This window comes from Homo sapiens, chromosome 11, assembly GCF_000001405.40.
Source record: "Homo sapiens chromosome 11, GRCh38.p14 Primary Assembly".
Taxonomy (NCBI): domain Eukaryota; kingdom Metazoa; phylum Chordata; class Mammalia; order Primates; family Hominidae; genus Homo; species Homo sapiens.
The window spans coordinates 76,186,325-76,212,515 of NC_000011.10; the positions used below are offsets into that span (position 1 = coordinate 76,186,325).

General features: G+C 57.8%; 1 protein-coding gene and 2 long non-coding RNA genes across 10 annotated transcripts in view, besides 8 other annotated features; 1 reads left to right on the top strand and 2 right to left on the bottom strand.

The window, feature by feature from the left end:
* Positions 1 to 24,437, bottom strand: WNT11 (Wnt family member 11). Of its 8 annotated transcripts, XM_011545240.3 has the most exons (7): positions 24,148 to 24,437; positions 20,551 to 20,631; positions 20,001 to 20,174; positions 10,159 to 10,394; positions 8,243 to 8,550; positions 5,240 to 5,532; positions 1 to 915 (listed from the first exon to the last, which is right to left on the bottom strand). In XM_011545240.3, the coding sequence occupies exons 3-7, from the start codon at positions 20,081 to 20,083 to the stop codon at positions 741 to 743; spliced, it is 1,095 nt and encodes a 364-aa protein (XP_011543542.1). In that variant the 5' UTR covers positions 20,084 to 20,174; positions 20,551 to 20,631; positions 24,148 to 24,437; the 3' UTR covers positions 1 to 740. The 8 variants fall into 8 exon arrangements, with proteins under 8 accessions (XP_011543542.1, XP_005274288.1, XP_011543540.1 ...); XM_005274231.2 differs by lacking the exon at positions 20,551 to 20,631 and having other exon boundaries at positions 8,243 to 8,520; XM_011545238.2 differs by lacking the exon at positions 20,551 to 20,631.
* Positions 358 to 1,137: an enhancer, noted in NCBI's record as "H3K4me1 hESC enhancer chr11:75897726-75898505 (GRCh37/hg19 assembly coordinates)". NCBI's record gives its function as "activates a minimal SCP1, AML or CMV promoter by ChIP-STARR-seq in naive H9 embryonic stem cells {active_cell/tissue: H9 hESC(naive)}" and the evidence as "EXISTENCE:reporter gene assay evidence [ECO:0000049][PMID:30033119]".
* Positions 20,091 to 20,330: a silencer, noted in NCBI's record as "silent region_3778". NCBI's record gives its function as "represses an Ori minimal core promoter by ATAC-STARR-seq in GM12878 lymphoblastoid cells {active_cell/tissue: GM12878}" and the evidence as "EXISTENCE:reporter gene assay evidence [ECO:0000049][PMID:35858748]".
* Positions 20,635 to 21,302: an enhancer, noted in NCBI's record as "H3K4me1 hESC enhancer chr11:75918003-75918670 (GRCh37/hg19 assembly coordinates)". NCBI's record gives its function as "activates a minimal SCP1, AML or CMV promoter by ChIP-STARR-seq in naive and primed H9 embryonic stem cells {active_cell/tissue: H9 hESC(naive and primed)}" and the evidence as "EXISTENCE:reporter gene assay evidence [ECO:0000049][PMID:30033119]".
* Positions 21,311 to 21,530: a silencer, noted in NCBI's record as "silent region_3779". NCBI's record gives its function as "represses an Ori minimal core promoter by ATAC-STARR-seq in GM12878 lymphoblastoid cells {active_cell/tissue: GM12878}" and the evidence as "EXISTENCE:reporter gene assay evidence [ECO:0000049][PMID:35858748]".
* Positions 22,637 to 23,303: an enhancer, noted in NCBI's record as "H3K27ac-H3K4me1 hESC enhancer chr11:75920005-75920671 (GRCh37/hg19 assembly coordinates)". NCBI's record gives its function as "activates a minimal SCP1, AML or CMV promoter by ChIP-STARR-seq in primed H9 embryonic stem cells {active_cell/tissue: H9 hESC(primed)}" and the evidence as "EXISTENCE:reporter gene assay evidence [ECO:0000049][PMID:30033119]".
* Positions 22,922 to 22,971: an enhancer, noted in NCBI's record as "active region_5285". NCBI's record gives its function as "activates an Ori minimal core promoter by ATAC-STARR-seq in GM12878 lymphoblastoid cells {active_cell/tissue: GM12878}" and the evidence as "EXISTENCE:reporter gene assay evidence [ECO:0000049][PMID:35858748]".
* Positions 23,304 to 23,970: an enhancer, noted in NCBI's record as "H3K27ac-H3K4me1 hESC enhancer chr11:75920672-75921338 (GRCh37/hg19 assembly coordinates)". NCBI's record gives its function as "activates a minimal SCP1, AML or CMV promoter by ChIP-STARR-seq in naive H9 embryonic stem cells {active_cell/tissue: H9 hESC(naive)}" and the evidence as "EXISTENCE:reporter gene assay evidence [ECO:0000049][PMID:30033119]".
* Positions 23,503 to 25,208, top strand: LOC112268079 (uncharacterized). The gene is made up of 2 exons (XR_002957259.1): positions 23,503 to 23,595; positions 23,941 to 25,208. It is a non-coding gene; the product is annotated as an uncharacterized LOC112268079 (long non-coding RNA).
* Positions 24,183 to 24,352: a silencer, noted in NCBI's record as "silent region_3780". NCBI's record gives its function as "represses an Ori minimal core promoter by ATAC-STARR-seq in GM12878 lymphoblastoid cells {active_cell/tissue: GM12878}" and the evidence as "EXISTENCE:reporter gene assay evidence [ECO:0000049][PMID:35858748]".
* LINC02761 (long intergenic non-protein coding RNA 2761) overlaps positions 24,632 to 26,191 on the bottom strand; it is a 5,135-nt gene continuing 3,575 nt past the window's right edge. The window contains exon 3 of the long non-coding RNA XR_007062785.1: positions 24,632 to 24,925. This is a non-coding gene — a long non-coding RNA (long intergenic non-protein coding RNA 2761). The remainder of the gene's footprint in view (positions 24,926 to 26,191) is intronic.

Genomic DNA, 26,191 nt, shown 5'->3' on the forward strand with positions numbered 1-26,191 from the left:
TTGCCTGGAAACTGGAGAGCTCCCTCTGCCAGCCCCAGGGTCTGCCGAGTTCACTTGACGAGGCCGGGAACTGCAGGGGCGGGCTGGGGCTCACTCAGCATTTATTTCATACAGCTGCTTAAAAAGCTAGTTTTAAAATAGAGATCATTATATATATACATATATATTTATATATATAAAATATATAAAGAGGAATTGAGAAGTGCCACCCCAAAGAAAAAGCTATGTTTTATAAATATTTCTGTAGCTTCCACATCCCAAAGGAAGAAAAAGCAAAAAACAAAAGAAAACATTTACAACCCAAGCTAGTGATTCCATGTGGTGGGCCCAGCAGGCTCAGACCCCAGGGTGGGCCAGGGGGTCCCGCAGAACATTCTGAAGAAGGCGGGCAGACCCCTTCCCGGAGGCTGGTCTCTGTGGCCCTGAAAGGTCAAGTCTGTATCAGTCTCACCGATCCCAAGCCCCGCTCCTTACACCAGCCTGTGGGCACTCCAGAGCCTCAGGCTGCCAAGTTATTTTTAATCTTGTCGGTTTCCTTTGATGTCCTGCCCTCCTTCCAGGGTGGCCAGACCTTCTGTTCCTGGTGGCTTCCAAGTGAAGGCAAAGCACAAGCCGCCTCCCATGCCTGGCATCTGGAATTCACAAGCAGAGCTCCATGGAGTGTCTCCAGGCCCCTGGCCCCAGTTGCTGAGGGTCCTTGAGCAGAGTCCTCGCTCCTGCGTGGGGCGGAGGGCAGGGCCTCACTTGCAGACATAGCGCTCCACGGTACGCTCACACCTGCGGCAGGTGACGTAGCAGCACCAGTGGTACTTACAGTGGCACCGCTCGACCACGCGGTCTGTGTAGGGGTTGTAGCCACGCCCGCAGCACATAAGGTCGCAGCTGTCGCTTCCGTTGGATGTCTTGTTGCACTGCCTATTGTGGGGGCAGGAAGGAGGTCAGTGCATGCCTTGGTCACCACCCCACCAACACCCCATGACTCCCAGCCAGGCAGCCGGCAGCGTCTCCCATGGCCACCGACTCAGCCCTTCTTAGAAGCTGTCTTGATCTTTGGGGAATTTTAAATAATCCTCTTACCTAAAGGTACTTCTAACTTTTCCCTATATTTCTAATAAGGGGTTACCAAAATGATGGGGCTGTTTTCTTTTATTTTTTTGAGATGGGGTCTCACTCTGTTGCCCAGGCTGGAGTGCAGTGGTTGTGATCATGGCTCCCTGCAGCCTTGACCCCCGCCTTCCCCACCACCCAGGCCCCCGGCTCAAGTGCTCCTCCCACCCTGGCCTCCTGAGTAGCTGGGACTACAGGCACACACCACCATGTCCGGCTAATTTTTTATTTTTGTAGCGATGGAATCCCACTATATTGCTCAGGCTGGTCTTGAACTCCTAGGCTCAAGCAATCCTCCCACCTCAGCCTTCCAAAGTGCTAGGATTACAGGCATGAGCTGCTGTGCCCAGCCTTGTTTTGTTGTCTTGGAGATAGCTTTTTTCTATTTCTTCTACTTCTAAATACTGGAAGGACCCTCCAACCAATCTAATAAGCCTATCTTTATGTGTAACCTTTTACAGAGTCTCGCTCTGTTGCCCAGGCTGGAGTGCAGTGGTGCAATCTCAGCTCACTGCAACCTCTGCCTCCTGGGTTCAAGCGATTCTCTTGCCTCAGCCTCCCGAGTAGCTGGGATTACAGGCGTGTGCCACCACACACAGCCATATTTAATCTTTAATTAAATATTATGAGAGATGTCAAGATCATTTGATTTTTAGAATCCTAGGATAAATGCTGAAATACTCGAACCCCCACTGGGCATCAGACACGCTGCTCGTGGAGGAATAGGGGTCTGTTGGCCATGTGCCTCCTGTGGGTCAGGCTCTCCCTCCAGTGTCTTATCTTAGTGGAGGCCTGTAGGGCCCTTGGGTCAGTGGAATGATTACGTCCATTATGCAGATGAAAACAGGCTCAGCAAAGGGCAGAGGCTTAAACTTGGGGACTAAAACTAAGGCCCTGACTTGCTCTCCCTACCCTAAAGGGTGGGGCATGGGAGCCAGCAGGGGCTGCATTTCTTCCCAAATGTGGGATGCGAAGACATTGAAGGTCCCTATAAAATGCAAACATCCTTCCACTGCTCTCAGTTCTTCTGTCTAGTGACAAATCATCTGTTCAGACTGGTGGCTCCTCTAGCTGGGCTGAGGCTAGACAGGGAGTGTTTTCATGAGATGTAGTTGGGGACAGAGCAGCAGGGGGCTGGGGCACTGACAGGGACAAAGGGTCCCCACATGTGGGCCGAGGAATCCCAGAATGTCCAAGATGGGAAAGTCCTAGAGATGACCGAATGCAATCCTCATATTTACTGATGGGGAAACAGACACAGAAGGGAGAGGGGCCTTGCCCGTGGTGAGTACAAGGTCTGTGAGAGTTCAGCAGGGCCTCCTGGAAGAGGAAAGGCCATCTAGGCCATTCATGAAGGATAAGCAAGACTCCGCCGTGCAGAGGAGGGAAGGAGTGCTGGGGTAGAGGGAACAGCCTGGGCAAAGGCAGAAGACGAGGCCTGCCCTCAGAACAGTGAGAGCAGATGGAAGGGGAGGGCTGGAGGCCCGGAGGAGGCTGATCAGTGCTGGGGGAGAGGCCAGGCCTGAGCCGGAAGGGGCCATGGGCAGAAGGAGGGGAGCGCCTGGGGAGAGTCAGCCGGTGACCAGCAAGTGGGGGCTGCCAGCAGTTCCCAGAACACCTGCCCCAGAGCTGGACAGACCTGGGTTCAAGCCCCAGCTCTGCCACTTAGTGGCTGTGTGACTTAAGGCAGGTCACTGAACCTTTTTGGGCTTTGTTTAGCCACTTGGCATCCATGAGTTCCCCCTCAGCCTTCTCCTGAAGGCTCTGGCTGAGCACTCTACCCTGAAGGGTAGGAAGGAGGCAGAGTTCTTTTTTAAATTTCTGGATCCCTGACATGCATTGTCTGAAAACTTGGCCTCCAGTGTCAGATCCAGACAAGGCCCGGGTGCCTGGGACCAGGATTGGGGCCAGTGGGGCCATAGGCCCAGGGAAGGGCCGTTGGATGCCTGGCTCCCAGGGTACAGGGTGGCTCAGACTGTGGGTGGGGGTGGGTTTCAGAGGTGCAGGCCTCTGGAAGAAATATGACAAGAGGGCTAGGGTTTGGAATATTGTCTGCAGATTAGGCCTTGGTTTCCCCAGGTTAGATTTGAGGAGGCTGCAAGGCATCTTCCGCAGAGAGGGAGGCAGCCTCTAGAGATACCCCGCATGCACACGCCTTTCACAGTTCACCAGGCTCACTTACACCCAACCCCCAACCTCATCATCAATCTTAAATTTCCCCTCCTCTAGGAAGCCTTCCTTGATGTCCAGGCTGGATCAGGGACCCTCTGGGCTCCCTTCACACCAGGCTTTTCTGTCACGACCTGAGCCCTTGGGGACCTCCCACCAGCACCTGCCAGAGCCAGGCAGAGACACAGCTGACATGCAGTCTCATGTAATGGGCACAAGAAATGCTTGTGGTTATGAACTACTGAGAAATTGGGGGTGTTTGTTACTGCAGCAAAAGCCAACTAATACAGATGCCTGCAAGGGTCCCCCTAGGGAAGGACCGGGAGCCGCAAGGCAGGAAACCTGTGGGGGCTGTGAAGGAAGCCAGGAGGGTAAGTGGTGCTGAGGGCGGGGCCTCCTCATGAGGAGTGAGGGGCAGCTGGGAGAGAGGGGCCTGGCAGCCTGAGGGCACGGGGGAGGGGAGACTGCCCGGGAGGGGAGGGGAGAGGGGAGATGCTAGGTAAGTGCGCTTGGAGATCACTCGACAACCCTGTGAGCGGTGGGGTGCCCTCCCCACTGTGCGGAAGACGAGGCTGAGCTTCAGATCAGTGAGGGATGTGCTCAAGTCCCCCTGTTGGGAAGCTGTGCCCTCCCTGACACACACAGAGCCACATATGGATCCAGGAAGACCCTTTCTTCACTCTCGGGTCCTCCGTGGGCCTCCTGCAGCCCTCCATGTTCTAGAATCCTCCTCTAACTCCCCCATCCCCATCTACCTCAGCCCAGCCTCTGGCTCCTTCCTGTCTCCCTGGCCTGACCTGGTTCCATCTTCCCTCTGCCGACCCCCTCAATCTGGCCTCCAGATGGGAGCCTGGGCCTCCTCACAGAGCCTGCTGCCCTGGCCTGTGGGGATGCAGCCCCCCAGCCCACCCCCTCCCTCTCCTGGAGACAGGAACGTGGGCTGCGGAGGAAGTCAACGCTGGCTGTGCACCAACTATGTGCCAGACACGTTCCCAGACACCCACTCTCTGGTGCAATATTCTTTTAACCCCGAGAACACGAGTTTTGTGGAATGCTATTAGGGGCTCCTTAATAAAAGAGTTCCATGGCCAAACACCTCTGGGAAACACTGGCTTAAACAGATCCTTTACTGCAGATTCCTCAGAGCCTTTCATATGTTCTAGTGCCTTGTGAATCGCCAGAGAATTTCCCAAATGCATGTGACGACAGAGCTCTTTCTCTCGTAGGAGATCGGGACCAGCTTTCGCCAGCACCGTCTTTGGGAAATGCTGCTTGTGCAGTCCTCACCAGCCCCACCCATCACACGGTAGGTCTGCAGTCACCCCTGGCTCCCTCACTCTCCTGTCCTGAGCCTGCTGCAGCAGCTGTGACTGGGGCTGTGGTAGGGTTCCAGGCCTGGGGTCCCCAGGAGGAGATGGGGGCGTGCGGGGAGAGGGCTCACAGGGGCGAGGACACAGGGGCAGTGTTGCTGCACGGAATGCAGGCAGACATCACTCTCCCTCACACAGTGTAGGCTGTCCCCATCTCCCCTGGCACCTCAGTCCCTTTGCTGTGCAACGAGCAGGCTGTATGGCCTTTACCCGTCATCTGTTCATCTGACAAACATTTTCTGAGCACCTATCTTACGTTGGGCAGCCTCGTTCCTGTCCTGTCCCCCAGTAGCGTCATTGTCTCTTCCCATCTGTCTCCCCAGCTGGGGAAGGTGGAGCAGGGGCCCCCCATCAGCCTACATTCACTGGCCCCTGCCAGGTGCAGTGCAGAACAGGCGCTCCCAGCAGCTCTGCAGGGGACCCTAGAACCCTGGCATCTCCACTTAGCAGTCCTGGGGCCAACTCTCTCAACTGAGCAGGGTCTCCATTCCCCACATGCCACCTGAGTCCCTGCTGTGTGCGTGACCCTGAGCTGGGGAACAGTATGTGCAACACCAGTGACCCTTTCCCACCAAGGTGGCAGCAGGCCTCACCTGTCTTGTGTCCCGTGGGAGCCCACCTTCTCATTCTTCATGCAGAAGTCAGGTGAGCTCTGCAGATAGACGAGTTCCGAGTCCTTCACAGGCCGGATATCCAGGTCCTTGGGCACCAGGTGCTTGCGGGTGCCCATGGGTCGGTGCACTACCTTGGTGGCCGACAGGTATCGGGTCTTGAGGTCAGCAGCCACATCCTGCAGCTCCTGCAGCCCCTTCCAGCAGGTGCGGATGGAGCAGGAGCCAGACACCCCATGGCACTTACACTTCATTTCCAGAGAGGCGCGCAGAGCCTGCGGACAGGGGAAGGCGTCAGCTGGGTGGCCAGAGTCCCCTCCCTGGCCTGACCCGGGACCCCAGCCCCACCCACCCATGGCTGGGTGCTCTCAGGGAGTCACTGCCTGCTGGAGTCTGAAGTGATAGAGCTTTTTGCTTTAAAGCTTGGAGGTGGTGTGGGCCTTCCTGCAACCGTGGGGGGCACAGCTGAGGGGCAGGAAGAAAGGCATTTTCAGGGATAGGGATGCCATTGTTTAGCACCTGCTGTATACCAAGCGCTCTAACACATAATGGAGATTGATCACCACAACGGCCCAAGGGAGGTATCCTTACTTCCCCCATTTTAAAAAGAAGAAACAATAGCTCAGAGAGGCTAAGTCTCATGCCCAAGGGTGCAGATAGAAAATCATGGAGCTTGAATTTGAACCCAGATCTGAGGCTGATTCCAAAAGTGGTGGCTTTTAATTGTTTCATGCTTTTTCTCTCACTAAATGCTTGCTGGAAAAAAGGCAGAAAAGAAGAGAAGGAAGGAAGGGAGGAGGGTAGGAAGGGGAGAAGAGGCAGGGGTAAGTGCAGGGGGCACCTCCCCGCCGCCTGGCTGACTTTCCCCCCACTGCCAGTGCTCCTGCCAGGCCACCCTCAGCAAGCCACATCGCCACTCAGGGCCTCTGTCTTCTTTCGTGCAAGGCGAGCACATAATTCCTGCCTTGCAGAGAGCTGTAAGGATGAAATGAGATCACACACACAAAAGGGTTTTGTGAACCATAAAAGTTAAATCAATATTGGTTTTGAAAAATCCATTTAAGTAATAACTATGGTGGAGCCCCCTTGGGCTCAGAGGCTTGGGGAGACTCTTGCCCTGGCTTCAAAAAGGACTCGGGCCCACCAGCTTCCCTGGCCCTCAGTTTCCCTATTCATACCTGAGGGGCAGAAGTTAGATGCCTTCTACGGGCCTTCCAGTTCTGCCTTTTAAACCCTTCTTTCAACACAAGACTTGGATTCCTCTGCCCAGGCCTACCCTCCTGCCTCTCCTGTACAGAGACCTGCAAGAGTCATGGGAACCTGGGCCCATCCCCTGCATCAGAGACATGGGGAAACTGAGGCACAGAGTGGGCAGGACTTGCCCAAGACAAGTGAGTTAGTGGGGGAGCTGGCCAAGGTCCCAGGACTCCTTCCCCTCACCAGTGCCAGGAAGTGAGGACCCAGGGAGTGTGTTTGGGTACCCAATCTGGAATTGTCTGTGGAGGTCACAGGGATGAAGTCAGCAGGACTGCAGGGCACCGAGGCACTGGTGAGCCATCGAGGGCAGGTGAACTAGGTTCTGCTGCTCAGCATAAGCTGGGGAAAGGGGCTTGGAGCTTCCTGGTGTATTAAACACGTTTGTGATCTCATTTAATCCTCACGCAGCCCTGCACCTTGCAGGGACACTGGCCCCTTTTGCAGATGGCCTCAGGGACGGGCCTGATTTGCCCTGAGGCGGAGGACCCTCTTTGGGCTGCATGGTGGGGAGAGGAGGGCTGTGGCCCTGGCAGCATGTGGCGCCCAGCTGGCCTGGCCATGATGGTGGGCGTGGCCATGGTGGTGGGCGTGGCCATGGTGGTGGGCGTGCTGGCCGCTGGCGAAGGGCTCCCACTGGGTTTCATGAGCAGGGGTAGGGGACAGGTCAGCAGGGCCAGGAGGCAGGAGTCCTGAGTCCCTGGCCAGGCTCTGCTATAGACCCACAGTATGATTTGGCTTCAGTTTCCCTAACTGTCCAAGGATGGCCTGGACACCCTAGAATCCTCACACAAGGAAGACCCTTGAGAACAGGTGAGGCCACTGAAGCCCCTGGACTTGGGAGTCCCACAGTCCTGGGCTCTATTGTGCCGTGGGGCTGAGCCGCTGAAGTGCTTTCAGCCTCACTTAGTGCCTCTGTAAAATGGGGCTAAAGGGTGCAGGGAGGAGCTGATGAGATGCCATCTGCACATGCAGCTCTGGCCAAGTGGCCATCCCTGCCATTCACGGTCCTTTCCCTATCTGTAAAAAGGGGACAACAGGGCCTGCCCGAGTTGTTCTGTGACCACAGAACAGAAAGGTATGGAGCACCAAACACAGTGTCTGCAACACAGATTGGTAGAAAGTTCATTCACTGACAGGTCCACTCACCCCAGTCTTTTGGGCAGTGAGGTGAGGAATGAATGAAAACCTGATAATAATGAATGCCGGAGGAAACTGTTCTAGCAGCTTCGGTTGGTGTGGGTGGGAGTCCCCGTTAAATCCAAGCAGATGACCCCTTAGCATAGGCTTCTGTTGACCACAGCCCTCTCCACGCCCTGGAGGGAGGGACAGCTTGAGGAACATGACAGATGGGGACTCAGCACCAGGTCACCCCCACCATTTCATAGATGGGAACAGCTGAGGCTGGAGAGGCACTGACTTTCCCAAAGTCCCTAAGCGAGTTTAGTGCCAGAGCCAAGGCCAGAACTCAGAGCTCCTGACTCCTAGTTCAGTGCTCCCTCTGCTTGGACAACCCAAACCCCAGTGGACGCCTTGGAGGAGGAAAGCGACACAAGCCCCAAGCAGCTGGCGAGGGAAGGGCTGAGGATGAGGATGGTGCGAGGCACATCAGGTGTGGGCCAGTCAGGGCCCGTCCCCCCGCACCCCCCACCACTGGGGCAAGCTGGGTGGCCCTTTTCTGGCCAATGGCACAAGCACAACTATCTGGGGGTGGGTGGGGTGGGTGGTTACCTGTCTCCCCACTTCACTGTTGTGTAGACGCATCAGTTTATTGGCTTGGGATCCTGTTTTTTTCACCTTCATAGGAGCATCGGAAAACTTGGCCCCCATGAGGAGCCCGTAGCTGAGGTTGTCCGCACATCCTCCCCAGCGGTTCCCGGGCCCGGGTGGCTCACCTGGGACGGGGCCGCAGGAGCAGCCGGGCAGGTCGCCGGAGGTGCAGGCCCGGGCGATGGCGTGGCTGATGGCGGCGGCCGACAGCGCATACACGAAGGCCGACTCCCGGGTCCCTGAGGGTGGGAGGGGAAGGTCAGCCGACGCTGATCCAGGGCTAGGACCCTGCCCAGGTCAGAGGTCCTCCACCTTCGCCCACACCCTGCTGTAACCAAGGTGACGCCAGCAGGGGTCGGCACTAGGGCCATTGAGATGTCACCCCTGCTTCCCCAATTCCTTCTGAATATACCAGCTGACAGCCACACTCAGGACCCCACACCCACAGGCATGCCCTCACCCACGTCCTCCTACTCACACTCACAGCTCTAGGCTTCCACCCACTTGCCCTGCACTGGCATTAGGGGATGCTTTACAGTAGTGAGGCCCAGGCTCTGAGCTCCTGATGCGCCAGACAAATGCACAAAGGACCTGCTATGCGTGGACCTGTGTCCCCCCGAAGGATGTGTTCAAGTCCTGACCCCTGTACCTGTGAGCATAATCTTATGACGAAGTGGGGTCTTTGCAGATGTAATGGGGCTGAGACGAGGTCATACCGGATCAGGGTGGGCCCTAGGCCAGTGGCTGGTGTCCTTATAAGAAAGGGGAATTTCGGATACACAGACACACAAAGAGGGAGCTTGCCCTGTGATGACAGAGGCAGAGACCGCAGTGACACAGCTGCAAGCTAAAGAATGCCAAGGATGGCGGGCCGCCACCAGGAGCTAGGGACGGGCCAGGAAGGATCCTCCCTAGCACCTTCAGGGGGAGCACGGCCCTGCTGACACCTCGATTTCAGACTTCCGGCCTCCAGAACTTTGAGACAATACACATCTGTTGTTTGCAAGCAGCCAGTTGTGGCCCATTGGACAGCAGCCCTGGGAAACGAATACGGCACTCAGGAGCCTCAGCTGCGGGGCCCTGGCCATCGGTCCGAGCCATGGCTCTGTCTCTTAACTAGCAAGCCACTTTCCCTTCTCCAGCCTCAGTTTCCTTAACTGTAGAATACGGGTGATAACAGCTACCTCACAGGCTGCCTCTGGAGTTCAAATAATTCAGTAAGAAAAGAATGTTTGTCAAACATTAGCTGCTACTGTTTAGGACCCACAAGAAAAGTTATCATAGTGCAGGGGAGAGATTACACCTACTGGGGCGCTTCTGTCTGTCAAAAGCCTCCCTATTGTACATGGGTCCCCCAGACTCCCCCCACCAGAAGCCACCTCCTGCAGGAAGTCTTCGAGATGTTCTGTCCCCACACTGCTTTGCGCATGGTGCAACAGTTTCTGCAGTCTGGTTCAGTGTTACCTGTGGCACACCTGTCTGCCCTGCGGGTGGGCTCTATAGCATTATTGTTTCTAGACTCCCCTCCCAGGAGCCTCCCTGACATGTGGCCTCACGTACAGCAGGCCACAGCCTTGGGTCATTCCTTCATTCATGCATGGGGGCACACAGGTACATGTGCTGTCCAGGCTCCCCTGTGATGATATCGCCACTCATCTGTGTTTACTCGTTTGTGAATTCATGCCTGCACACCCATATTTATGATTAATTCATCCACCCATACCCCATCCATCCATGCCTGTATCCACCCGTCATTCATCCATGAATCCATCATCCACCCACCCATGAACCCATCCCTCCATCTAAACACACACAGATTGATGCCTGAATTCCTTCACCCGCACCCACATGCATTCAGCAGCCTCGCCAGCTCCTACCTCTCTCCAGGTCAAGCAAATAGTTGGGGGCGAGCTCAATGGAGGAGCAGTTCCAGCGCATGTCGGCAAAGGCCCGGCGACAGGCCTTCATGACCTCGCGGGCGGCGTGCACCACCGTGTGCATGAGCTCCAGGTTGCTGCGGCACAGCTGCACCTGTGCAGACACCAGACCCTCCAGCTGCTTGCAGTGTTGCGTCTGGTTCAGTGCCAGGGCCGATGGTGTCTTGGACAGCGCCCTGCACACCATGGAAAGGCCATGACCGATGGAAGGAGAGACAGGGTTGTCAGGGGCCACATGGCCTCCACCCGCCCTTCTGGCCCCAGCCTTTCCCTCAATGGACTTTGCCTCCTGGTTTCCTGGCTCCTTCCAAAAAAGGCTCCCAAACTGTCAGCTGGCAGAGCAGTGGATCCCCCTCACACCCCATGTGACCTTGGGCACATCACCGTCCCTCTCTGGGCCTCAGGCCCTATTCATAACATAGGATCACAACCCCATCCTACCTAAGCTTTAGGATAATTATACTAACAAAACAGCTGTACAGTTCACAAAGCTCACCTCCACCACCTGATTTAGTTCTCACACAGCTGTGAATTATTAGTCTTTATTCAACATTCATTCAACACTGAGCAGCTACGTGCCAGAAACCATGAGAAATGCTAGATTCTTATGATCACAATAATTATACATACTATTAACTGAAGCCTTTCTAGATGCGCTACATGTGGTAGGAGTTTTCCATCATTGTTTCATGTGATTACTAAACCCATTTATTATGTTGTAAAGTCCCATATCCATGCAAGGAATTCCTAATAAAGGATTAAAGAGCCACTCAGTTTTGTGATGACCTGGAACTTGAAAAATTTAGTATCTAATTCAGACTTGGCCATTAACTTGTTGTGTGATCTTAGATAATTCATTGCCCCTCTTTGGGCCTCAGTGTTTGTACTTATAAACCGTATTTCCCAGAATGGGCTCCAGTGAGACACTCTGACAAAAGGGATCCATGTGGGGAACACGATGTACTATGTCCCTGCTTGGAGAGTCAGGATGCACATTTACGTTTTAAAGGTCCTGAGAAGTCCTGCAGCAAAGCAACAGGCTTGGTGTTAAAATTCAACTCAGGGAGTCTATTGAGTACAGTGAGCACAGAGCCCTTTGCTTGAGGCTGCTGACTTCATCCACCTCGTCCGTGCTTTGGGAAACGTTAGCCTGGTGGGTCCCTATGAACCCTGGTGATGTTAGAGGACCCAAGAGCCTCCCAGATCCCAGCTCTGGGCACCTGGGTTCCAAGACTCTAGGACCAGGCCCCTCCTCGATCTGCCGTTCTCCTAGGCCTTCTCTGAGGGCAGCCTGCATCGGCAGCACTTAAGGACCCCACAACCTTAAAGGACTCCACATGGACTCACTCTCAGTGCCCCCACCCACAGCAGAGGCCGTCTGGAACCCAGAGTCAGCTGGCCTTCAGCAACCCAGCAGAGACCCAGGAGCGACAGGGAACCAAGAGGGGGCCATTCTGCAGCCAGAAGTGCTGAGTGCCCCGCCTGCTGTGGACCCAGCGGTCCTCACCCAGGGTCAGGGCTGAGACCTGGCAAGGTAGAGATCCCAGAACCCCTGGGCTGAGTTCTGAGGGAGGCAGCCCATTGCCAAGGGCACTGCACAGGCTTGGGTAGACTCCAGGCTATATCACTCCCCTTGCGACCTTGAGCAAGTCACTTAACCTCTCCTCTCCCATCAACCTCCCAGTATTAACTGAGGGCTTAAATCAGACAATGTGTGTCACACGTTCTGCCCAGGGCTGACACTCTGTGGTCAGTGGTCAGTGATGGAAGCTACTACAGTTACCACCTTGGTGGTCTTTTCCTACCTGTGGGCAGCCTCCCTGGACCTGCCTAGTCAAGGCCAAGGGCTGCTGCTTGACATTCAGGGCCCCTCAAAGCCTGGCCTCCCAGCTCTCGCCAGCCTCCCATCCTCATCCTGACATCCAGCTACACCAGGTTCTTGACTTCTCTGAAAGGAACTGTCTTGCCACCATGCCTTTGCCCAAGCTTTTCCTGATGCCAGGAATGCCTTTCCCCCTGCTTCTGGACATGAATGAACTTGATCTGCTTGTGGAAGAAGTATTTACTAAGCACCAACTCTTCCCAGACTCATTTGGTAATGAATATGACATAGATCCTTTCCTCAAGGATGCCCTAGTCTAATGGCTGGATAAAGCTACCAATCATTATAAATCAATGACCCAGCTGTTCTCACTCCTGGCCTAGCCCCAGGAAGAGCACAAGCCTTGGACACCAGCTGTGTGACCTAGGTAAGTTATCCAACCTCTCTGGGCTTCATGTTCCTCATCTGTTACAAAGAAATGATAAGGCCAGGCGCGGTGGCTTACACCTGTAATATCCCAGCACTTTGGGAGGCCAAGGCGGGCAGATCATCTGAGGTCAGGAGTTTGACACCAGCCTGGTTAACGTGGTGAAACCCTGTATCTACTCAAAAAATACAAAAATTAGCCAGGCATGGTGGCGCATGCCTGTAATCCCAGCTGCTCAGGAGGCTGAGGCAGAATTGCTTGAACCCAGGAGGCAGAGGTTTCAGTGAGCCGAGATTGCACCACTGCACTCCAGCCTGGGCGATAGAACGAGACTCTGTCTCAAAAAAATAAAATAAAATAAATTAAAATAAAATAAAATAGAAATAATTACTACTTCAAAAGGCTATGATGAGGCTGGGGGTTGTTGCTCATGTCTATGATCTCAGCTACTCTGAGGCCAAAGTAGGAGGATCCTTTGAGGCCAGGAGTTTAAGACCACCCTGGGCAACATAGTGAGAGCCGTCTCTACCAAAAAGTAAAAAAATTAGCCGGGTGTTGTGGTGCATGCCTATAGTCTGAACTACTTGAGAGGATCACTTGAGCCCGGGGGTTTGAGGTTACAGTGAACTATGATTACACTGCTGCACTCCAGTCTGGGTGACACAGTGAAACCTTGTCTACTTAAAAAAAAAAAAGGCTATGGTGAGACTTAAATAACAGAACGTAGGCAAAGTGTTTAAAACATTCATAGATGTGTAATCCCAGCAATTTGGGAGGCTGAGGCGGGCAAATCATGAGGTCAGAAGATCAAGACCATTCTGGCCAATATGGTGAAACCCCGTCTCTACTAAAATACAAAAAATTAGCTGGGCGTGGTGGTGCGCGCCTGTAGTCCCAGTTACTTGAGAGGCTGAGGCAGGACCTGGGAGGCAGAGATTGCAGTGAGCCAAGATTGTGACACTGCACTCCAGCCTGGCGATAGAGTGAGGCTCCATCTCAAAAAACAAAACAAACAAACAAAAAATTCATAGATGAAGCTAAGTCCCCCGCTTGTTGCCCAGCAAGTATTGGACCAGACGGAGTGAGAAGGCCTGGGTTCTCACTCAAGCTCTGTCCTCTATGTGCTGTGCAAACTTGGGCAAACTATTGCCCCTCTCTGGGCATCAACTACAACGTGAGGACCTCTCAGGGTCCTGCCAAGGCTGAATGATATGTGCTACGGTAAGTACTCAATAGGTTCTTTCATTTCCTCCTGCCTCTCACGCTCTGCCATGTCCCACCCACCCTATAACCCCCAAAGATAGAAACCTTCCCAGAGACCCAGAAAGCAGGGCCTGGTGTCTGTGGTTAGGGCGGCGTGACTCGCCCTGTGTAAGATCAACTGTGGTGTCCAGGGCAGTCTCCCCTCACTGCCACCCCCTAAACTATGAGTCGGGAAATGTCTGGTGTGTCTAGATGCCAGCATCCGGCACAGGGTGGGCCACACAGCATCCCTCAGACGCGGTTTCTTGACCTAAATGGAACTGTTCTGGCCTGCCCTGGCCTCACCTTCTTGGGGAACCTGTTGCTGAACCCTGCCTTACTTCCTGGGTGGGCTCTGACCACACAGAGGCAAACGTCATCACCTCAGTGTGTTTCCCGGTTGTCAACAGCTCTTCCACCTCCACCCAGCAAACCCTGTCCCTGCGTGCAGTGCCGTCATGGGGTAAACAGCTCCATATGGGCATGGCCCTTCCCGGTTGACAGAGCCTCCCACTTCACACCTCAGAGGGCAGCCCGGAGGGGATGATCAGCCCTGCTTTAGGGGCTGTGCTTGTCCAGCACCCGCCAGCAGGCCCCGTCATCCTTCTTGGTGAGGCTGTCAGTCCCTGCAGGCACTGGGGTCACTTCTCTCTGGGTCCCCACTCTGCTTTGCTCTGAGCGGTCCCCACCCAGCCCGTCCTGAGCCTGCTCTGCCGCTTGCCCTCGCCCAACTTTCTTCCCGCTCCTTCTGAGCCAGCTTCCTCCATTTTCAAATGAGAAGGACAACGTGGGCGACAGCACATCAGCGCATGGCCTAGCAGCAGGCTCATGGCACATGGTGGGCGTTCAGGCAGTGAAGGCAGCCTCCTGTGTCTTTCCCTGGGCTCCGGCTCAAGCCACGGGGTGGGACGATGGGGGCTGAGCCTCTTCCTGGGGAGCTCAGTGCAGACAGCTTGTGAGTGCTGGGTGCTGCAGCTCTAAAGGAAGGGAGCCTGGTGCTCCTGGTGCCTGGGTCTCCTAGGCTGGGACCCTGGGGTGAGCCCTGGAGCTACCCTGGGTCTCAGTCTTTCCATCCTCCCCAGAAGGCTCAGGGAGAAGGTGCTGTCAGAGCACCTTCCAGACGAGGCTCAGACTCCCCAGGCGGCCCAAGGGTAAATGAGAAACAGATCCAGAGGCCCTGGTGGGCCCAGAGCAGTGTGAAGGCCCAGGGGCCCGCCTTGGAGGCTGACGCTGGGACAGGAGCAGGCTGCCATGCGTACTAGGGAGGCCACCCGCCCACAGGGGCTGCAGGCAGAGATCACAGGCGGGAGGCAGCAGATTCCACTCCCGAGGAGGGCCATGCGGTCATCTGGTAATTAGTGGTAATGACCGTTTCCAAATAAATCCCCCTTGGGGAGGTAATCAAGGATTAGGATGGGAGGTGGGGGAGTTCTCCTTGTGGACATCTTGCTCGCTTCACTCCAACAGACCCCTAATTGGAAACATTTCGGTTTATCTGGGGGTGGGGGCCTGGGGGAGAGGGTGGAAGAAAGGACAGGAGGGAATGCAGAGTTCACAGGCGAGGCCCGAGCTCAGGGCCCTACCGGGGTGGCAAGGCCTCCTCTCATTCAGGAGTTGGGGGCCTTGCTGGGACTGGCTGGGGCAGAGACCTGGGTTCAAGCTCTGGCTCAGCAGCTCTCTCCCTGTGAGACCTTGGGCAAGTCACTGCCCCTTGCTCCACCTCAATTTCCCCATCCATACTGCTCAATGCTTAAGAACAATGCAGGCTTTGACATTGGTAACACAAGCTGCCAAATGACTTCACTGAGGTATTTTCCTGGTGGCGCCAGCAACCCTACCCTCAGGCCGCTCTAGGGGACCCGCCTGTGTAAGGCACCTTCAAAGAAGGGCTTCCTTCCTGGACCTGCACTTCACAGCATCCCTCTCCCTCTAGGCACAGGGGTCAGGTCACATGATGAATTCTAGGCCAGAGACCTGGCAGCCAGGTTCAGGCTCCTTTAAGTGACCTGGGCCCCAAGTTCCCTCTCTGCAGTTCTGCAGCTCGGCCGCCCACGGTGCTGAGTGGTATTGCCAGACCATTTCCAGGTGAGGCTTCGGCAGAGCTGGGCTCAGAGGGCCTCAGAAGGTGCCCCCATCAGCGCCACCCAGAATGTAGCCTGGCAGCTGCCCACCCAGGGAGAGAGATGGGGTGAGGTCAACAGATGGCGATGAGAGAGACCCTGATGCCCACATCTGTGCTTCTGGGATGAGGAGGATGCTGATGAGGGCTGCGGGCTGGCTTAGGGACTCAGTCTTGCCCTGGAATCCCCATGCTTCTGCATCTGTGGACCCTGCTGACCCTGAGGTGGGAGAACAATTGAGTCGAGGAGATCCTGTTCTCCCAACCAGACCTTTGTCCCTCCTTTCCCCGTGTCTCTTTGGGCTTTCCTGGGCCCCACCTCATGCTGGTGCCCATGTGGCAGGGAGGATGGAGCAGGACCCCAGGCTCTAGGCCACCCAGGCAAGCCCAGCCTCTCCCCAGGCTTCCGTCTACTCCCCTGGGGCAACCTTGGGGAAGCTCTCCCTCCACGACTCCTCAATTAACTCTTCAATTAGGCACCAGGTCTAGGAACCGGGGAGAGGTCTAGGAACCTCGGAAGTGCCCCTTCTTCACCAGCCATCCCAGCTTGGGGCTGCAGCTGCCCGTTCAGGAAGAAGAAGCCCCTGGGGCCCCACAGCCTGAGAGTCCTCCTGTTCTCTCCCTCCTGGGCTTTGTCCCAGGACTCCAGAGTGAAGAGGGACTAGTCCAGCCCTTGTCCTCACTGTATAGATAGAGAAATGGAGGCTGATGAAGGGCCTTGAGCCTGCAGATCCAGTCCTGCCTGGAAATGACACTGGGTCCCCTTCACACCTGACTGCCCAGACCTCAGAGATGGAAGCCTGTCCCCTTGGCCTCACACATGCTGACCCACCTGTGCAGCCCATCTTGCAAAGGTAAAGCCCTAACAGGCCTTGGTCTGATGCTTCTCAACCAAGAAACCAAACGGCAGCTGCCACAGCATCATGAACTCCCACTGTGCAAGTGGGGAAACTGAGGCCCGGAAAGGGCAGGGCTTGCCCAGATCTGTACGCAGCCAATCAGAGGCAGAGACAAGCTAGACCCCAGGCCTCCTGCATCCTGAGGTAGGGCTCCTTCTACCTCTATCTTAGAGCTGAGGAAACTGAGGCTCAGAGAAGCTAAAGCGATTGACCTGCAGAACTCAGGCTGGGCCTTGCAGTCCCAGTCTGGCGCTCCTTCCACCCTACTCTGCAGCGCCATGGCCCTCTAGAGCCTCCTGGCCCCACCTCCGTGGGAGTGGCAGGTGTGGGACTGCCCAGGGAAGGGGGCGGCCTTTATGGATGTTCCCAACCGGCCTGGGCCTTTCCTCTCACCCCACCGCTTCCGTGGTTCACAGGAGAGTGGGACTCCCCTCAAACCCTCCCCCTACCCAGGAAAGCCAAGAAGGGGGTGGACAGCCCAGACCTGGGACCCCGAATACTTGAGGGGCTGGGAGTCTTCTGGTGCCTGGCCTGGGTGGAGGTAAGGTAGGGAAGGATCCCCAGGTTATTTCTGGGCAGGTGCCTCTATGGGCAGCCAGGTTCTGATCCCCTCTCCCCAGCCCCCATCCCACCAGCTCAGCCTGCGTCCCAGGCACCCACCAGGTGAGCATTCCAGGCCACTGGGCCATGTTGGCTTTCAGTTCCTGTGCCAAGTGCCCCTTTCATCTCCAGCTCACTCTCCAAAGCCCAGGCCAGCGGAGGCTCCTGGGTGAGTCCCCGGCTTTCCAGCCTCACTGAACACTTCCCTGCTCCCAGCTGTGCTGGGGCTCCCTGTGCCCAACAGTCCACAGAGCTAGGCAGCTTAACTCAAATCCTGCCTCTACTACCTCTGAGCTGTGACACCCTGCTAGGTAGAGTCCCCCATCTCTGTGTGCCCCAGTCTCTGTTTCCTCTTCTGTGCAACGGGGGTAATAGCAGCACCCACCTCACAGGGTGGTTGGGATATTTAAATGGAACAATATACATAAGGCACTTAGAACGGCACCTAGCACAAAGTGAGGCCATGTGTGTGTAGACATATATGTACATATACATAGATATATGCACGTGGCCTACACACGTGTATCTATATATACACATGCATACACAGATCGTTGTTATTCTTAAACTCCACCCCTTTTCCCACCTCCCCCTCTATCTTAAACTCTAGCAAGACTTTAATCCCCTATTGCTAGACTATCAGTTTCTCATAGGAGTGCAGTATGATCTAACTTACATGACCCAAGCTCTCGGAGCAGCGTCTGGGGCACTTAGGAGTAGGCTCTTGTGGTGCCTGGTTTCTCCAGGTCTCCCCGCATGCGCTGTTCGGCCTCCAGGCTTCTGCTCGTGCTGTGCCTCCCGCCTAGGACGCCTGCTTTGCACTCCGTCTCTGACCATCCAAATCCTCCCTGTCCTTCCAATCCTGGCCTATGCATCTCCCTTAGATAGAACTGATCACTCCTCCTCTGGGCTGCCATGCTCCCTCTGCTAGGACACAGACCATAGTCCACTTTGTATTTCTATATGTCCATCTCCCCCAAGAGCCTGGGGGCTTATTTAAGGCACACAATGAGTTGTACCCATTTCTGTGGCAGCCTGACTTTGCAGTGGGGACAGAGGACATGGACGTCAGGTTTAGCCAGCCGTCCATCCCACCACAGGCCAGCGTGGGGGCTTGCGTGCATCATGCCCTTTGCAGGGTCTCGGTGTTCCCACTGTGGAGCAGGGATGATGGCAGTGACCCCACAGGACTCTTATGGGCGGCAAATGACACCCAAGCCCACTGCAAGGCCTCTGACGCTCCTTCAGCCAATCCTCTCCTTCCCTGGACCTTAGTATCCTTATCTGTAAAATGGTGGCGGTGGATGAGAGAGCTTGGACTCGCTGATCGGAGGTCCCTGCCAGCTGGAACAGTGCTGGGTACCCCATTGCAAAAGGAAGGTGGCTGGTTTCTCACAGAACTCCTCAGGGACAGCTGGGAAAAGCTAGTGCCCAGGGCTGGGAGATTGCTGAGACCAGGCTTCTTGTAAACAAGAAAGGCAGGAAGACGGGGTTCCCTCCTCGAATCGTCAATTAATCAATAACTTGGCCTGAGAAGGGGCAGGGCCAGTGACCTCCAGACTGTTTGCTGGCGGCGCAGCCACTATCACCCTGTCTTCCAACTAATTCACAAACCCTTTGCAGCGCCCTCCCCAGCCCCCACAACCTGCCCCCTGCTGTCTTATCTGCAGGCTCCCTGCCCTGGCCCCAGATTCCAGACCCTTGTCCTGTCCTGGACTTTCCCTCTCAGGGAGCCCCTCTGCCCACAGCGTCCTCTCCATTGCCCGAACCAGCCAACTCCCAGCAGCGCTTCAGTCACCAGAGGCACAGCCTCGGAAAAGCTTCCCGGTGTCTCACATCTGTGTCCCCACCAGGTGGGCTTCCTTCCTCTAGGCCTCCAGATTCCCGCTCTGGTTTCTCCTCGGGCACTTGGACACTTGTGGAGTTATTTACAGCCTGGGCTTATCTCTCTCAACTTAGAGCGCAGCTCCTCCGGGAAGGGGCTGGTGTTTACTCCTCTCTTCACCACCCCCAGCCCCCTGAGCAGGCACTCCCTTCAGCTCGGCACCAAGCCTCTCTCTCCCTCCTACCCCTGCGTGAATAATTTCTATCTAAAGGAATGCCCTGCACATGTGCACAGTGGCATCTGACAGCTTCTGAGGTCCTTTCAGGAGCCTCTTCTCATCTGATTTGAGGGAGGTGGGGAGTCTCACCCTCCCGTGACAGAGGAGGACAAGGAGGCCCCAAGAAGTAGAGTGACACTTTCCCAAGGTCGCCCAGGTGGAGGGGTCAGGAGTGTCTCAGCGGAACTCCCGCTAGGGTCAAGGAGACTGACGGACAAGGACCGCTCCTGGGCTGGCCGCTCTGGATTGCGCCCCCTGAACAGAATGTCTTTTTCCATCTGCCCCTGCGGAGGTGGCCAGAAACTCCGTGGCCCTTGCGCCACCGTCAGCTGCACAGGACCAGGCGCTTCCATTGTGGTCCACGCCCGTCTCACTCCCTTTTCGCAAGCCTGCGGGAGGCAGGGACATTTTACAGAGGAGGAAACAGAGGCTGAGGGATGACTTGCCCACGACCGCCAAGCCAGCTTAGGCTCCCGGGTCTTGGTGCGCTCGCCCCATCCAGGGGACCCCAAAACGCCCTCCGCCGCCCCAGTCCCTGGCCTGTGCGCGTGGACGCGGGGTCCCTACTCACAGCCACTTGATGCCATAGCACACGCCGGTCTGGAGCGCCAGGGCGAAGAGCAGCGCCTCGCAGACCTGCGGCCGCGCCCTCATCGTCGCGCGGCGGGCGCGCCCGGGGTCACACCCAGGAGGAGCCGCGCCGAAGTCCTCCGCCTGCACGGCCGCCGCTGGTCCTGCACGCCGCCTGCAGCCGGGGAGAGCGGAGGCGGCGGGTTAAGGCGGCGCGCGGGCGGGGGAGGCGTTTTATTCAAATTACAAAGGAGGGGTCGGGGCCCGGGGAGGCCGAGCGCGGCGGGCGTCCCCTCCCGCTCCGCCCGGCCGGGGGACGCGTCCCGCGCCTGGCTCGAATTAGGCGCGGCCGAAGGCGTGTCTCCCAGCGTGGCCCCGGGCCCCAACGCGCCTTCGAGCCCCTCTGGCCGGGGCAGCCGGAAGGAGGGACAGGAGGCGGCAGAACCGGAGACCCAGGAGAGACCGGGCAGACACAGCGAGAGGGAGAAGGACGCTCAGAGGACAAGGCTGAGAGCCACGGAGACAGAGGGGGAAACCCGGACAGACGCAACCTGGGACGGAAAGGAGAGGAATGAGGAATCAGGAGTCCAGGCGAGGCAGCAGAGTCGAGGACCCGGAGCTGGGGCTTATCCCTGCAATATTGAGCATTAGTTAATAGGGCCTCGGCAATTCTCCTTCCCAAACGTGTTTCAGTTTACCTCCTCAGTAAGCTGGGGCAATTCGGGCACAATTCCGCTTTTATAAAGAACGTTCCCTGGCCGGGCAGGGTGGCTCACGCCTGTAATCCCAGCACTTTGGGAGGTCGAGGCGGGCGGGTCACCTGAGGTCAGGAGCTCGAGACCAGCCTGCCCAACATGGCAAAACCCCGTCTCTACTACGAATACAAAAAATTAGCCGGGCGTGGTGGCGGGCGCCTGTAATCCCAGCTACTCGGGAGGCTGAGGCAGGAGAACCGCTTGAACCCGGGAGGCGGAGGTTGCAGCGAGCGGAGATTGCGCCACTGCACTCTAGCCTGGGCGACAAGAGCGAAACTCCGTCTCAAACAAACAGACAAACAAAAAAAGTTCCCTAACACGATCGCATCTGCTCCTCCCAGCACCCCGTGAGATAGGCACTATCGCTGCCTCATCTCACAGATGAGGAAACTGAGGCACAGAGGTGGGGTTCAGCTAGGGAGCGGCAAGCCGGGTGTCCGGCGAAATCAGGAAATGGGGCTTGCTCGGGGCCCTGCTTTCTCGGTGTGGGAAGGGGAGGATGGGAAACGGGATGGTAGGGCTCTTTGTACAGTGAGGATTCCGAGTCTCCAAGTCCGTCTTTAGCCGCTCCACTTTGGAGGGTGGGAGTGGAAGCATGCGGGCTGGGACTGGGCAGCCCCGCCTTAGCGAAGCGGGGAAGCTCGCGGGGCTGGCGCGGTGTTGCCTCTGGCCTCCAGGCGGCGCCCTCGGGCCGCGGAGGAGAGGCTGCCCCGCCCGCCCGCAGCCCGCGGAGCAGCTATCTCCGCTTTTTTTCTCCTTCACTTCATTCTCACCTCATTAACTCCCTTCCCAGCTTCTCCCAAATTTACCAACACCTGGCGTTCGCCCGGAGTCAGACACAGCCCCAGCCCCTCTCCCCTCGGGAGGAGCAGAGACAAAGGGATTCCTTTCTAAGGGTTTGGGGAGTTGGAAAAGGAGGCGCCCACGGTAGTGGGGGCGCTGGAGCAGAAAAGGGACGTTCTTATCTGGCTCTGTGAGCTTGGGCAAGCCCTCAGCCACCCCAGCCTCGGTGTCCCCTTCCATAAGAACGAGGAATGGGGCTTCGCCGTGCGTCCCCCGAGGACCCCGTCTCCCTGCAGCCTGCGGGGCTCAGCGCCCCTCTGCTATTTGCACCGCGACGCCACCTGCGTGGCGCGTTCCTGCGCGTGGGTAGTCAGCACGCAGAGATGGGAAGCCCCACTGTTTTCTGGAGCCTGTCGGCAAAACCCACAGGAAGGCGAGGAGAAGCCTGGATCGTACAGTTTTTTTCCTCCGCAGAGCCCCGCAGCTAGCGCCCAGCACAGGGGCGCCTGCGACAAACATGCCGTCAAGGCTGGGGGTCTCAGAGGGGTTCTCGGTGTAACCCAGTCCCGTCCTCCCACCCAGCCTGTATCCAAATCCTTTGTCTTCCTGGTCCTGCAAGTTTCTTGCACTTCTCAGAACGAGAAAAATATCCGCTGGATATGGAGGGGGGAATCAAAACTCCAGTCACCGTCTTCCCCTCTCCCAAAGTGCGCCGCCCCCCGAAGGCACCCGGCATTCCTGGGTGGGGAGGGGGCGGGGGCTGCAAGAGGACGGAGGCGCGCGGACTCACAGCGGGGGATCTGTGTCCAGCCTGGTCTCCCAGGGAGAGGAGGAGCCCCCTAGGTCGCACAGCGGACGGGGACCCAGGCCTCCAGCCCCGCCCAGCTCTTTCGGTGCAGCCCCGGCTGTCCCAAGGCTCTCCCTCCGCCGCCCAAGCTCGTCGCGCGGGGAGGCAGCGCCTGGCCCGAGCCTCTGGGTCCTGACGGACTGTTCCTGTCCCTTGTACGAGCGCCCGGGACAGCCGCGCAGGCCACGGGGTCACCTTCCGCCTGAGCTCGCGGGTCAGGGTGCACGCGCCTCCTGAAGCCCCCAGCCCGCCAGGGGGCGCTAAGCCGGGGCTCGAGGAGGGGGGAATCGCGGCTGCCTCCTGCGTCGCGGGCTGGGGTCAAGTCCTCTTCCTGGGCCCCCGCTTCTCCGTCTGGGGATGGGACGACGTGTCGAGGGAGTGCCCCCTGTGTCCTGGTCGTTCTATAGGACACTTGCCGTGGGCCGCCCTGACCTGCCCGGCCCCTTGCTTGGGGCCGGGCGCGTAGTGGGCCGCGCCAGGCGTAGCACCTTTGGAGAGCGAGCGGTCACCTCCTCGAAGTTGGTCCGAGCTACCCTGCCTGCAGCGGGCCCGGGAGGCGGCCGCCTGGGGCTGTGCACAGGGAGAACACCACGAGCGCAGCGCCGCAGCCCAGCGCCGCCAACAGATGGTCATAGGCCCGGTCTGTGGAGGACTCTGGAAAGCCGGCCGCTGGGACCAGGCCACGCCGGCCCGGCGAGGACTTGCGGGGTCCCCCCTACCCCGACGCCCCACGGGCACCGTGCACCGGGGCCGATTGTCCGCGCGGCGCGCAAGGTCGGCACGGGCGGGTCCCGAAGCCTCCCGCCACGCAGCTCACGGAGCTGACCCCGCCAACCAGGGACGCCGAGCGACGGCTTCAAGGTTACCTGCGGGGCGGGGCGAGGCCGGGCCTGCCACCCGGCTTTGACCCCAGCCGTGAGGCTTTCGAGAGACGTCTGCTTGGCTGCGCACGCGGCGCCGGGTCACCCGGGAGACGGGTTGTTTTGGAAGTGGGAAGGGTGGGTGGGAGCACTCGAGATCCCTCCTGCTAACCCCCTGGAGCCGGACCCTGCACGCCCAGGGCCTTGAGGGACACCGAGGCACTTCAGCCCCGGGGGTGGGAGGCGTGGAGCTCGTGCGCGAGCTCAGCCAGATGTTCCGGGCGGTTGCAGATGTGCCTCGGGGCCGGGGACAGGACTTTCCTCCTCCCTAGCCCCCAGCCTGGAGCTCAGGTCAGTAAACAAACTCGGTTCTCCCCCTCCCCCCGCCGCCCCTGGGACCCGTTCTCAAAGCCAGGCTTCTGCCCCCATCCCCAATTTACTAGGCGCTGCCGCATTTCTTTGCCTTTTGCCACCCTTTCCCCCCGCCCACCACACACACCCTCTGTCGCGGGATCCAAGTCCCCCACCCCCGGGGGTGGCTCGGGCATGACCTCATCCGCCGAACGACTGGGAAGGAGGGGGTCGCCTGGGGTGCGGGGGCAGAAGAGGGGGGCCGGGCCGGGAAAGTTCGAGGAGGGCCGCAGGAACTGCACAACCCACCACCGTCCCGCGTGCCCCTAAACCCCGCGTCCCCAGGCTCCCGAGGCTTCGCTCCGCAAAGGGGAACTCTTCGGAGTGCTGCGGGGGAAAGGTATGGAGGAGCGCTTGGTTTGCTTACCCGGGAGTGGGTGCCCAAGGGGGTCGTGGCGGGTGCGAGAAGCGTCGTCCCCCTCGGACTCGGGCGCCCCCAGCCCTGGCGGGTCCCCGCTGAGCGGCTGCCCGCTGCCCGCGACCACTGCTCACCTCCCGGGGCGCTCGCCAGGCGCGCCCTGCGTGCCCGGGTGCCCCGGCCTGCCCAGGGAGCGGCGAGTGCGGTTTCCAGCGGGCCCGTGCGCACTCCGGCTGGGCGAGCGGCGAAGGCGCCCTCTTCGTGAAGCGGCGCGAGAAGGACGCCGGGGATCCTGGCAAGCTGCGGCCGGCTCAGGACCCGCGCGGAGTCAGGCGCGGACTCCGGCTGCTCTCTGCTGCGCTCAGCTCCCGTGGCCTGTGCTCGCCGCTCGCCCGAGCTCTCCTCCTCGCCTGGCGCGATCTCCGGCGCGAGCCTCCCAAACTGCTTTATAAGGCGGGCGGCCGCTTTGATCCGCCCACGTCAGCGCGTCGCAACCCCACCGGGTGGCCCCGGCCGCGCGCGGGGGGCGGGGGCGGGGTCCCCGCGGACGCCACTGACCGGCGGCGCCCGCCGCTCCAGAGAACTTAGTACTCTGTCGAGTTACAAAGGGGGACTCGCTCACTACAGCTGGTGTTTACTAAGCGTGCGTGCTGCGTGCCTGCGACACGCGTGGGGCCCGGGTAAGGCCCATCTCGAATCGTCGCAGCAACCAGGCAAGGAGCCTCAACTGGCAGGGGGAAGTCAGACTTGGGTCTCAGTCTGGAGCCGGGGCATCCTTAGGTGTTGGTCGCGCAGCGTGGTTACTGTAGACGTCTGAGGTCCCGAAACCTGCCTTCGTGTCCTAGTCCTGGTCCTTCGGGGGGCCATCTCTTCTGGCCTCTGGTTCCAGTTGTGGAAAAGGAATCAACGATCCTGCAAGAGAAAGAGACACGAGGACTCCGCGCTACAAAGCCCGCTGTAAACCTTAGGTGTGGAGCTGGGCGGCGTCCCAGCCGTTGGGGTGACTGCTGGGGAGTGTTCTGGACACAGGGGAGGGGGAGCAGAGGAGGACTGGGTTTCCTAAGTTAAAGGAGCCTAGAGAGGCACCTCCTGCGTCGAGTAGCCCAGGCGTGTGGTGCTTCTGGACCCCCTCACTTGGCCTCCCCTGAGCAGACCAGCTGCTTACCCCACAACATGACTGCGATTTCTAACTGCCCATCGGGTGCTGTGGGTTCATCCATGTCTCCCCCTCCTTCTAGGGGCCTCAATCCCAGGACGTCCTCAAGGATAACTGGTTCATTAGCAGAAAGGGAAATGGAGACTTAGTGAGGACACGGAGCCTGTCTCAGGTCCCCCAAAATGCCTGACATTCTTTTCCCCATTCTTTGCAGCTGCAGATGAAGTGGCACTCCTAGGCTGCCCCACACCCAGCTACAGGTACCTCCACATACAACACAAACATCTGGGCCCACAGTGCCCATAGCAGCCTCCCAGCCATACCAGTACTCCCACACAGCCAGTCCTCACACACAGGCTGGGGCATATCACCCCGCATATGGTTACAAACACACTCGGGAGATACCAGGACATATCATCTGCCCTCACACACAGTAGCACAGAGGTGTGAAATGGCCGTACACACATCATGAAGGGGAGGCTGCACACAGACCACCTGCGCGCACACAGTTCAGGTGCAAACATGCGTGAGCTTCCATGCACACACAGCTCCCAAGTGTACAATGCCTAACATGTACTTCTGCACACAATCACAGGGATATCCTTTGGAACATACGCTGGGACACCCCCATCTCTCATGCCAGAACACTGGGGCAATCTGATCAAAAAAGCAGTGGAAAGACAGTGGGCTTGGGGCATTGAGGAAGGGAAGGCGGGGGCTATTCCACCTAAGAGGCAGAGAGCAAAGGCCTCCGGGGGCCCAAGAATGTCTTCAGCTCCCCTGCCCCAGGCCCCCCGGCCACTTCAGTCAGAGCCATTCCAGGTGGTCTCTGTCTGATTGGGATGCGCACCCTCTGCCCGTTTAAGAGGCTCAGTCAGTTGCCTCCAAACATTTGCAGCAGTCCTGCCAGAAATCCCCTCTGGCTCCCGGCTAGAGTAGAAATGGAAGAATTTGGAGTCATGTAAACTTGGATTCCAATACAGATTTTGCCCAATTTTATTTTTAGCTGTGTAATCTTGAGC

What these genes read in the sequence shown, in the direction of transcription:
- WNT11 (XM_011545238.2), bottom strand. Translation starts at nt 20,083, where the DNA reads ATGAGGGCGCGGCCGCAGGTCTGCGAGGCGCTGCTCTTCGCCCTGGCG. An exon ending in TTTGCTTGACCTGGAGAGAG is followed by an intron (nt 8,551 to 10,158) that starts GTAGGAGCTGGC and finishes GCCCTGGATCAG; the next exon opens with CGTCGGCTGACCTTCCCCTC. An exon ending in TCCCACGGGACACAAGACAG is followed by an intron (nt 916 to 5,239) that starts GTGAGGCCTGCT and finishes CCCCCACAATAG; the next exon opens with GCAGTGCAACAAGACATCCA.